Below are 12,366 nucleotides of genomic sequence, written 5' to 3' on the forward strand. Positions count from 1 at the left end.
AAAATTCACTCCCAAATAGTTAGAGACAATAGACTTCAACTCCAAATGTATGATATGGTCTAAATTAATTATATGCTCATGCATCTGCATAGTCTAAATATTGGAAATAAAATTGCTGATTGTCAAGAGTGGGCATCTCTGGGTGGCAGAAATACAAATGTTTTTTATTTTCTTGTTTATGACTTCCTGGATTTTTAAAGTATTACTTTCCCCCAATTTTATTGTGATAAAATACACATCACATAAAATTTACCACTTAACCATTTTTAAATGTACAGTCAGTGCTATTGAATATGTTCATAATGTTGTGCAACCAACACTACCATTCATCTCCATCACTCTGTTCATCTTGTAAAACTGAAACTCCGTATCCATCAGATGAAAACTCCCCATTCCCCACTTCTCCCAGATCCTGGCAACCACCATTCTATATCCTGTCTCTATTATTTTGACTGGTCTAAGTATCTCATATAAATAGAATCATATAGTATTTGTCTTTTTGTGGCTGGCTTATTTCATTTAGCATAGTATCCTCAAGATTCACCCATATTATAGCATGTTTCAGAATTTCCTTCTTTTTAAGGCTGAATAACATTCCATTGTCTGTGTATACCACATTTTGCCTAGACATTCATTGGTCAATGGGCCAATGGGTTGCTTCCTTGATTGAGCTACTGTTAATAACACTGTTAGAATCATAGATGTATAAATATCTTCTCCAAAATCTGCTCTCCATTCTTTTGTGTCTATACCTAGAGGTGGAATTCCTAGATTATATGGTAATTCTATTTTTATGTTTTTAGGAACTGCCACACTATTTTTCACAGAGGCTGTACCATTTCATATTCCCACCAACAGTGCACATGGCTCCATATCCTTGCCAATACTTGTTATTTTGTTATTTTGTTTGTTTTTTGTTGATTTTTGCTAGTAGCCATCCAAATTGGTATGCATTGGTCCAGTTCTTTTTAAAATAAGCATGCTTTGGTTTTGTAATCGGAAAGAAAGATTCTGTACTAAATTGAATTCAAGTATTTCTTCAAAGAAGGATAGTGCCCACTTTGACTCACTTGAGGATATTTCTGGGACCTTCACAAAAGTTTATATATGCAAACAGGTTTGCCATTTGTGTGAGGCCTTTAGATTTCACTAATCTGGGGTTTGTAGAGATTTGGACAACTGCTGAGGTCTTTACCCTGGTTTATGAGATCTATTCTTCATAGAGCAAATTAACTGTGTCAAAATTGCATAAAAATGAACGTTAATATACTTAAAATTAAAATTTCCAGGCTCTTTGAATGACTTATTGCTTTAAAAATACACAGATATGCTAAATACTTTCTATTTTTATAGCAAGTCTGTTTAAAAATCATAAGCAATTACATTTGGAAAACTTAGTTTCAGTTTTTGATACACTTGAAAGAAATACTGTATTTTATTTTAGAAATATTATTTTAATGTAGATTTTCTGCCTTTTATCCTGCTTCTTTCAATTAATTCTAATTAGTGTTATGGTATTTTATAATAGAGACATTAGAATTTAAAGGATTTTAGTGTTCATCTTAATACAGTATTTCCATAAAATGTATAATGAGAACTGCTCACTGGTGTCATGCTGAGGGTGGGGAATTCTGTTATTAGGAAAGTTTGGAAATGATTGGGTAACAAATTTAAGCAAGGTTCCTTATAACAGGCTTTGTACTGTAACCCTCCTACTCATACTCCACATGAAGTAAGTGTGAGAGCATATAAAGTCATATAAAGTCAGAGTACTTTATAGGACCACAAGGTGCAGATTGCACCTTGGGGGACTACTGATCCAGACAACTGCCTGATAAAGAAAGTGGAGGAACTAAGAGTTGACCCCTTATGGTGCTTGAGTCCTCATTTAATAACATTAAGGCCAGGTGCAGTGGCTCACACCTGTAATCCCAGCACTTTGGGAGGCTGAGGTAGGAGGACTGCTTGAGCACAGAAGTTCTAGACCAGCCTTGGAAACATAAAAAGACTTCATCTCTACAAAAAATAAAATGTTAGCCTGGCATGGTGGTGCACACCTGTAGTCCCAGCTACTTGGGAGGCTGAGGTGGGAGGGTCGCTTGAGCTTGGGAAGCTGAGGCTGCAGTGAGTCATGATCATGCCACTGCTGCCTGGGTGGGAGAGTGAGGCCCTGTCTCAAAAAACAAACAAAAAACCCAATAACATTACTTTATGGTGTTCCTTTTTACTAGTTTCCTGTTTTCAGGAAAGTTACACTGTAATAGGGAAGGCCATCACATGTATTGGTGAGCATAATGGAAAATGTGATTGAATGCCAGGAGGAAACCAGCTACACTTAACTTGCAAGATGTGATTAGGCTAAGCAATAAAGAAAGGAAATCGTTTCATGAAAGAAGTGATTTTTGAACCGTGATTTTTGCACTGCACCTTAAAGAATGAGAATGTAGGCATACAGGTAGTTTACAGGGTTGGAGGGCAAGAGGTGTCTCTAAATAATAAACACTTAATGTCAGGGATTTGGACAGGCTGGGATGATGGGTCAGTTTCCATTTCTTCATCTCAAAGATGTGCTCAGTGCGGAAAGCTTCTTGGAAAGCTCCCCTCTCAACCCCACCCCACTCCAGAAGGAGTCCTTTGTAGCCCAGCATGCCTGACTTGGGAGGGAGGTGTGGCATCAGGGATAAAGTTGGACACAGTTGTCCAGTCAGCTGGCAGGTAGTTCACCATTTGTCTTCTGTGTTGAATGTCTCTTCTAGATCCAAGCTTAAGAGAGGAAGAGGGATGTTATGAGCCCCTCTGCCCAATCCCAGCACACTACATATCTGCAAGTACTTTAGAAGAGCCCGAGTCTGCTGGCATGGGGGCTGCCTTCTACACACCCATGCTGTTTCAGATCCCTGTTTCCATCACAGGCTCCCATTTCCACAAAAACGTGGCAGATGTAGTGGGTATGTGGTTGGGCTCTGGAGTAGCATTGCATAGGGTCGCATTGTTACTGGCCAGGTTTCAGTTTTCTTATCTGTGAAGTGGGCATTTTTAAAAGTACCTACCCCATACAATGTTTGTGAGCATTATTGTGTGATAATGCATCTGAAGTGCGTGGCACATGGCTGACATAATAACGGATTAGCCATTATTATTGCTATCATTACTCTATCAGGGCACAATGGTTTTAAAGCTGCATAAATACAATTGTTAGAAGAATGGACTCTCCCAGCATCCAGAAGATTCTAGAACATTTGGGGGAGGCGGAGCTATCCAAGATCTTTTGATTGATGGTGGTGATGAGGAGTAAAGCAAAGGGAAGACTGCATGTTTGGGCGGTGTGGGGAAACACCAAGAGAAACATCTGTGTGTTGGGGGTTGTGTAGGGTGGGAGCTTGTGTAGGAAAGTTTTAAAATAGTATGTAGTGGTATTGGATATGTGTGTTTGTCATGAACCATCAAAGGAGCAAAAAGAAGAAAAACTGTGTTTTGCCAGAATAATGCCCGTGTGTATAATTATTCTTTATATTTTACATATTTGTGCAAAATATCACACACAATGATTGTGCATGTCATTGACTATATCAGATTCACTTCGCTGTGAACGTTGTTTGGTTTAACAGCCGCTTCTATAAATGCAGTTTCAATCGGCTATGTATCCTGCAGCTTAGCATGATGAGTAGGGCATCTAAACAAATATTTATCAAGTGGTTTTACAGGAGATACTGCTAATGCCCTGGGTCCCTGGACCCCTTTCATCATCTCTGTGCTCTCCCCACTTGGCTTCAGTGTGCCTTTGCCTTCCTCGGCCAGCACCTTCAGAGGATTGCCTTCAGGCTAGTGGAACTGCCTTGCCTTTTGGTGCGGAGAACAGGAAGCTCCTACATTCCACCATTGCCCCCAGGACCCCTCAGCCAACAGTTGGCATGGGGTTATGAAAGCCTAGCACCTTTGCCCGAGTGGGGAAAAATTCCGAGGCATAATTTATACTCCAGAGTTCCTCCTGAAGCTTGCTCCACGGTAGAATACCTAAAATTGCCGCCCTGCTTCCATCGCTCCCTCCCGCCCTGCTCCCTGACTCCCTTACTCTTTAATAAATGATTTGCAGCTGACTCCTTATGGCTAGGTCTGTTCCTGGGGAAACTGAATTGAAACCACTGAATATATGTCAGATTCTGTCCTAAAACCGGGGTAAACAACTCATTTAATTCTCACAACACTGGAAGGTGGTTATTATTACCCTTATTTCGTGGAGAAGGAAACTGACTTGAGTAAACGAGGAGCATCATGTACTTAGAGATTGTTAGAGTTTCATTGCTTTGCCTACTTTCCTGCCGTCCTGGCCCACTGATGTCTTATTTAACAGGGTTACATTATCTTTTGAAGTACAGCCACCATCCTAGGGTAGTTTATTGGAACAAACAAGACCACATTTTAAAATTATTACCCATATAAAGCTCGTCACTGATTAAAGGTCTCACAACAATTCTCTTTACTTCAGAATGTAGAAGACAATTTAGAGAAGCGGTTATAAAACAATTTTAGTGTAGGAAAAAAAGTTACTGGAATACTGGAATGACTAGGAAGAAGGCCACTGCATTTAATAAGACCTCAGTGAGACCACTGGGTGAGGCAGATGAAGATAAGGGGTAAGGCTTTGGGGTCAGACACATTTGAGCTTGAGTCCGGCATCTCCTCTAACAAGCTTTGTGACTTTGGGCTAATCTCTCTAAGCCTTAATTTTTCATCTGTAAAATGGAAGACTATAATGTCTATTTTGTAGGATTGAAGTAAAGATTAAATAAAAGAATAAAACAATGTACAGGAAGTTTTTAGCACAATGCCTGACATATAGTAAGCACCAAATCAAGGTGGTTTGTTTTGTTTTTCATTGAAACAAAGTCTGACATATATTATGTGGCATAACTCCATAATCGATTCGAGAAACAAAAGAAAATATTGATGATGCTATAAACAGCTGCTTGCGGACCTTCTTATAGGCCACACCCGGTGTGTAAGCCCCACCCTTGAGAAGTGCTGCTTTAATTCAAGCATAACCTTCCCATGTAGATACAAATCTGCCATTTTCCTGGCAATATCTGGAATGAGCCAAGCTCTTCACATTTTTCCATTTACCAGAGGGAGATAATAGCCATAGAATTATAACTCTGCCCCTGAACAGTCTGCCCCCAGCCAATCATCCTGCACATATTCCAAGATGGCTTTATAAGGATAGTACAAACTTGGGGTTTTGGTTTAACTCCGTATTTTGAAATCACTGTAGATTCACATGCAGTTGTAAGGAATGATTCAGAGAGACCCCTGTACCCTTCACCAGCTAACCCCAATGGCAATATCTACAAACATCTAATTTTATATAGCATTTTTGAATAAGTATTCATATTTCTTGTTTATGAAAGGGCACAGAAAAATCTTCTTTGCTTTAGTAAGACTACAAACTAAAGAACAAGTCTCTTCCCTCAAGGAACTTACCTGAGCTTCGATTTGGGGGATGAGAAATCTTGAAAGACAAAAAGAGAACTTATATGTGCACATCCTTTGTTTTGTCCTGGAATTAAAACTAAGATTTCTGCAAGAATTTTTTCAAAATTGGAATGTTTAATTGTAAAATTCTTGTTTTATTTTATTTCTCATTGCTCAAGTGCTTAGACTACTTAGGGGATTAGAACTGTCCACTTTTCCAGCCATAACTATGACATTTAAGATATCATACCTCTTGCCTCTTACAGAGGTGGCTCCTATACAAGGACCTCTTTAGGGATGAAAACCCTGTAAAGCATGTGGTAAGGATACCTGTGGCTGAGGACAAAAGCAAAAAAGCCAAATGCAGTCAGTTGATATACAATTTCTTGGAAACAGCTATGGCAGAAGCTTTCCATTATGAAAGGCACTGGGGTAGTGCTGTAGGGTCATTCAGACTCTGCTTTCAACTAACCAGAATTTGGAGCTCACTTAATGGTATTTCTGGAGCTGATTATGTACAGGAAGCAGCTGATATGCAGTGTCTGATGTGGTCATCCGTTCAATGGATAGGATGGCAGTTTATTTTATTTATTGTGTGAAATATTCAGATTTTCTGTTAATTTTTAAAGTAGGAAATGTCTCTCAACTTCATCATTGTCCTCTCTGCCCCTTTTCCCTGACTTCTTGAGTTTCTGAGCACCCCATCCTCAGCCTCCCTTCTCACCACCTTTCCATTTTTTCTTACTGTTCTCATGGATTTTCCCATGTCTCTCTTCCTCCCTTTCTCTTCCTCTCAGTTCTTAAAAAAAAAAAAAAAAAAAAAAAAAAAAAAAAAAAGAGCTGGGGGAGAACAAACAGAAAAATCATTTACTAAAACATTTGGTTAAAAACCTTGCAATCATATGTTTATTTTAATTTCATTTTATCATTTTCCAAAACGCAGCCTGTGAGAACCATACTCCTGTTTTGCCTACTGGGCATTTGTAGGTATTCAGTGGGAATGAAGCATGGTCCATTTATAAACAAACATCTGTTTGTCTTTATTGCTGGGTTTGTTTGTGGCATTTGGAGGAGTAATTAAATGTATGTTAGTAATAGCTACTTTAAATATTTTAAACTAGCTACAAAATGAAAAAGTAGAAATGACGATTATATAAATCAATGTTTGGAATGCTGCCATAGCTTAAGGCTTGGGGAGTTAATGATGGGGGAGAAAGACTTTTTTAACCTCTGTTATCATCTGTGTACAAGGATGAACCTGTCAGTGACTCACATGAGCCACCAGAAGAGGCAGCTGAGTGGACAAATGGAATATAAGTTACCTTGAGGTCAGCCTGAATTTAAGGAACCAAGGCATGAGGGGACTATCAGTGAAAAAGAAAACCAAATAACAGGTCCTGGAAGGTCCAGACTTTACTACCAAAACAGCAGCTAACCAGAGTGGCAGGTGGGAGGATGTGAGAGGGAGAGAGGGAGAGAGAGAGAGTGTGTGTGCGTACTGGGTATCCAGAGATGAAGAAAATAGAAGTGGGGTTGTGAAGGGACATGGCATGGAGCTTACCTGTCCCTGAAGGCCTGGGGGTAGTTTCTGAAAGGGCAGACTCCCACCAAACAAGCCATATGTTCTAATTCAATATCAAATGCAGCCATAAAATCATTTGATGAACTCTGACAATCCTGTGGATATGACACTATGCTATGGGAATATACTCCTTGCCAGTTTGGGGTGCCATGTGAGTCTCTGTTACCATTTGTTGGAAGGAAACACAATGTTAAGTAGGGGAGAAATTCAATTTTACAAATATAGCTATAGTTTGATTGATAGCAATTGTATATGGGGCTGCTTGCTTTTCAGTGTGAGGAAATAGGCCCAGTAGGATTCTTCTAATACTCTGGTTTGTCTTTGCAATATTTGTACGTGTCTGTGAGCAATACTATTTTTCTCAATCAAGGTATATGCTTGTAGCATTTCAAAATGTGTTGGGCGTGCTTTTAAAGATGCAAGATGCTCTGTTTTATTCTCAGGGGAATTCCTGTGTACTGTTACCCTGGGGATAGAATTCCTTAAAATAAAACAATAATAATAGCAGCGAAAACCCTAAATACTCCAAGTGATGCTCACACTTAAGCAGAGAAGCAGCCTAGGGTGTACATGTATATACAGTGAGATCAAAAAAAAAAAAAAAAGGAAAAACTAATTCTGTGTTGTAGTTTGTGGGACACTGAAAAGAGGTCAAGAAATAGACGGTAAAAAATATATATATAGAAAGGAATAATAAGTATCTCCTCTATTTCTTCTTTCGCAGTTCTGTTTTGAACCCAAAGTGGATGATGCTGTCAGAGCTGAACCACTGAAAGGAGGCTGTGAAAATTTCCCATCTTCTCATTGGCCATCAGTTGAGATAAGATGGAAGACTCTTACAAGGATAGGACTTCACTGATGAAGGGTGCCAAGGACATTGCCAGAGAGGTGAAGAAACAAACAGTAAAGAAGGTGAATCAAGCTGTGGACCGAGCCCAGGATGAATACACCCAGAGGTCCTACAGTCGGTTCCAAGATGAAGAAGATGATGATGACTACTACCCGGCTGGAGAAACCTATAATGGTGAGGCCAACGATGACGAAGGCTCAAGTGAAGCCACTGAGGGGCATGATGAAGATGATGAGATCTATGAGGGGGAGTATCAGGGCATCCCCAGTATGAACCAAGCGAAGGACAGCATCGTGTCAGTGGGGCAGCCCAAGGGCGATGAGTACAAGGACCGGCGGGAGCTGGAATCAGAAAGGAGAGCTGACGAGGAAGAGTTAGCCCAGCAGTATGAGCTGATAATCCAAGAATGCGGTCATGGTCGTTTTCAGTGGGCCCTTTTCTTCGTCCTGGGCATGGCTCTTATGGCAGACGGTGTAGAGGTGTTTGTCGTTGGCTTCGTGTTACCCAGTGCTGAGACAGACCTCTGCATCCCAAATTCAGGATCTGGATGGCTAGGTGAGTGTGTGGTGTCAGTGAGGCCAACTCTGAAACTGGCTTATTTGTTAAGCACAGTTATCAACATAGAGAATAAATACTTTTCATCTAGAGTACTGCATTTTTTCTAACAAATTTTTTATTACAAAAAACTTTAAGCATACAAAAGAATCAAAATAATTGTACAGTGAACACCTGTGTATACCCACCACCTAGATTCTGTAGTTAACATTTACTATATTTTCTTTATCATCTCTCCATCAACCCAATTTATTTTTATGCATTTCAAAGTAAGTTAGAGTATGTTTTAACTTATATTTTTATCATAGTTGCATTGGTTTCTCCTTTATTAAATTCCAAAGCTACTCTCTTGGAAGTTAATAATGCTGTTATATTTAACACTTTTCTAAATACAGAGATTAGTTCTGTAAAACTCTGACAATTGTGATTTCAAATGTCAATTTTTATGTGTAATACAGTAGTTTAAATATTTTAGGACCCTGATAACTTTAATTTTTTCTATTATCTATGTGTATGTTTGCTTAGATTTTCAACTAGCCTTATTCGTATAATTTTCTATAGGTGATTTTTAATCTTTTTCAAGCTGTGTAACTTTGTGCCCAAACTAGAAAAACTTCATTTCTTTATATTATTTTAAATATATAAATATTTAAATGTGTGTTAAAAATAATATAACCTCTCTATAAAATATCTATACAGCAGATTTGATTTTTGTTTTGAAGTTACCATGGACTCAGGTTTATATTTTTACAAAGCTATAGTTAACACTCTCCGAGTTTGTGCAAGGGAAAATAAGTAGGTAAGAAGCAAGCATGCAGTGAACTCTCCCCTCAGCAGTTTAAGGATCCACAGCAAACACCTGGTATATAAAATCAGGAGGATTTCCAAACTGCTTTTGCAAATCCTGCCTCAGAGAACACGTTTATGTGCATGTTAAATCTTTATGTGTTTCAGAGTCTATGAAAGAAAGAATACTTAGTATCTATGTTTCCAAGGGACTTCTTTAAAACTAAAGCTTCAAAAACAAAAGTATACAATTCTTGAAAACTAGTAACTTTATTAAGTAATGTTATTATCATTGAGGCTGAGAAATTTCCTGGGTGATTAAAATTAAATGCTATATCCTAATTTGTTCTGTGACAACACAAGAGAGATACTCATGAATGAGAAAATGATATACATCTTTTTATTCCTTTAACACTTGTTTCTTTTATATGACCCACTCCTAGTATTTGTTTCTTTATGCTTAGCTAAAATAAATGGATCCATGAAAGTAGATTGTGTAGGTTGAAGGGGTGGGAGTCAGGAGCATATTGTGCATATTTTGCTGGTACACTCATTTGTGTGTTCCACTATCAAATGCAGACATCACCACGCTTCAGAGGAGGGTCCTTGGTCATTTGTCAAATTGATCATCTCAGCAGACTGGTTTTGTATCTAGCACTGTATATCATTTTTGTTTTTTTTCTTTTGGTGAGCAAGTATATCCAACTGTAAGCCTAGACATCAAAATATGTATTCAGATTTTGCTAAAGGAATATGTCAGCAGAATGTGTAAAGAAGATAGACCCTGAGAAATATACTCACACAAATATTTAATAATTGCCAGCTTAAATTTAGAATAAAAAATATTTTAATGTTATGGTCCCACCATTTATACTGGAAAGACTACAGAAAAATCTAAGCCAAACTTGCCCTATGCCTTTATCTTCCTGGTGCTGTATGAAAGCACAGTATGACATACGGTTCTCTTATCAAACTATCCTCCAAACCCAGAAACCCTGGTGATGTTACCCACCCCCAGGTGGCATTTAGAAGTGTAGATAATGCTGCAGAACAATTGGAGCACAGATATTCTCATCTGCCCATAAATGTTGCCTGCTTTAGTGAATTAAAAATATGTCCCCAGGAGTGTATAGTTTCACTCAGTGTTGTGAGTCCCCAACAGGAGCATTTTAATGCTTTCATAACTGTGCCTTCCAGACTTGCATTTCAATTATTTTGCCATTGTAATTTCACTCATAATTGCATTCTAACAGAGTCTTTTTAGACAAGCATTTAAATTGTTTTGCCATTTTCATTTCATCGAATAATAGCTTTGTAATATAATTACCACACTAAGTCATAGCAATAGGATCAAAATGCAAGAAAGCAGGATGCATGACCCATGTTTGGTGGCATTTTGAGGATATAGATTTGCAAAATAATTTCTCATTTGCTACTAAGCATTGTGTCATTTTCCTCAAGGAAGACCAGGAACAAAAATATGGCCCAATTTATGTTTTAATTATTTGGGAGATTGAGCCTCTCTTTGTGTTTGCTAAAAGATTGACTTAAAGGTATCTAAGGGCATACAGTGTATGCCTGTATCTGTGTATATAGTCTGTGTGTATATATAACATTGTTAATTGGGCCAGAAGAAGTTAGAGTAAATATTTAATTATCTAATGATCTGCTCTTTGGAAGAACAAGGGCAGTCACTTTAAGATAATCTGTTCTCTATTGCCAAAGTCTATTTATTAAGCACTTACTGTGTGTAAAGCACAGTATTGTCACAAGGATAATAGGACAAAAAAGAGAGGCAAGGTTTCTCTATCCAAGGAAGTTATAGTCTAGTAATGGAGAAATCACAAATGAGTAGATTACCAGTCTAGATACCAAGTGTCAGTAGCCATAAGACAAGTGTAAATAAAGAGACTTCGAGCAGGGAGAACATGTTACAGGGTAAGGCCCTGACTAAAGCAGTGGAGAGAAGGAATGGATTTCAGAGCTACTCCAGAGGTAGAGTCAGCAAGGATTTGCTCATTGATTAGCTTCGAGTGGGGAGGAGGGGACCAATTAATGAAAGAATGGCAGTTCATTAAATTAGGTAAGGCAGAATATAGATTTTAGCAGGATGGAGAAAGATGAAAATGTTTAGTTTGAGACCCTCTCATTTTGAGGTCCTTGGGGACAATCAAAGAGGAGTGCCAATGGGCTATTCCCCATTTGAGCTGAAATGCCCAGAGATTTGGAAGTCATCTTGTTTAAGACAACACTGCCAATGACCTTAATGAGGGAGAGAATGGTTTCCCGCTGAATACTATTTATGGGGCTGGTGGTGGAGGAGGAATCATTAAGGAGGTAGAGGAGAAGCCAGAGAAAGGAGCAGCCAGGAGAAAGGGGAGGTCTGGAACTTGCTGGAAGAAGGAAGGGATGTATAGCTTTCAGGCGCCGCAGTCTTGCAGTAGAGGCTGGCAATTAAGAGTTATTGGCTGCTGCAGACATCTCTTAAGATGAACACAGTGAGCACAATAAACACAATGAGCCAGACTAGTAAGTTTTTAAGACTTCTTATTGAATGAAGTGAAAATGTGTCCTGCTGATTTCCAGCCCCTGGTCACAAGGCAGGCTTTTCCAGGACATCAGGCATTCTCCCTTCCCATTTGCTGTGACTCAGAGTGGATTCTGTGGAAGTGAGCCCTCTGACTTAGCTTCTGTTCAGTGGTTGTTGAGGGGGGCAGGTATGGTTCTAAGATTACCCCTAGGCAGGAAAGATGTGCAGCCATTTTCAGCTCAGCCCTACCCCGACTCTAGTCCATTAGGGCAGAACAAGCAGCGTGCTGGCACCTCTTCCCTTGCATCAGAGGGGCTGGCCTCCCACTCACTGGCTTATTTCCTCCTAAGACCCATCCAGTGAAGCAGAGAAAATGATCATTATTGGTTCAACTGCTTTATTGCTGAGGGTTACAAAGATGAGTGATATTTAGGAACTAAAATATTATCACAGCCAGGTGTTGACTAATACAAAATAGATGCAAAGCAACATATTCTAACCCCAAATGTACTTTTATAACTAAACCTGAGCTAATTAATAGTGAAACATCCTGTGCTTCTTTTATCCTTTTCAAGGCAAATATCAACTGCTACC

At 38.9% G+C, this 12,366-nt stretch overlaps 1 protein-coding gene across 5 annotated transcripts in view; it reads left to right on the forward strand.

Moving 5' to 3' along the window:
- SV2C (synaptic vesicle glycoprotein 2C) overlaps nucleotides 1-12,366 on the forward strand; it is a 506,476-nt gene that overhangs the window by 276,411 nt on the left and 217,699 nt on the right. For all 5 annotated transcript variants that reach the window (XM_011543282.4, NM_001297716.2, NM_014979.4 and 2 more), the window contains exon 2: nucleotides 7,776-8,456. In XM_011543282.4, coding sequence (XP_011541584.2) covers nucleotides 7,877-8,456 — 580 coding nt within the window. In that variant the 5' untranslated portion in view covers nucleotides 7,776-7,876. The remainder of the gene's footprint in view (nucleotides 1-7,775; nucleotides 8,457-12,366) is intronic.

The sequence above is a fragment of the Homo sapiens genome, chromosome 5 (genome assembly GCF_000001405.40).
Source record: "Homo sapiens chromosome 5, GRCh38.p14 Primary Assembly".
Lineage (NCBI taxonomy): Eukaryota > Metazoa > Chordata > Mammalia > Primates > Hominidae > Homo > Homo sapiens.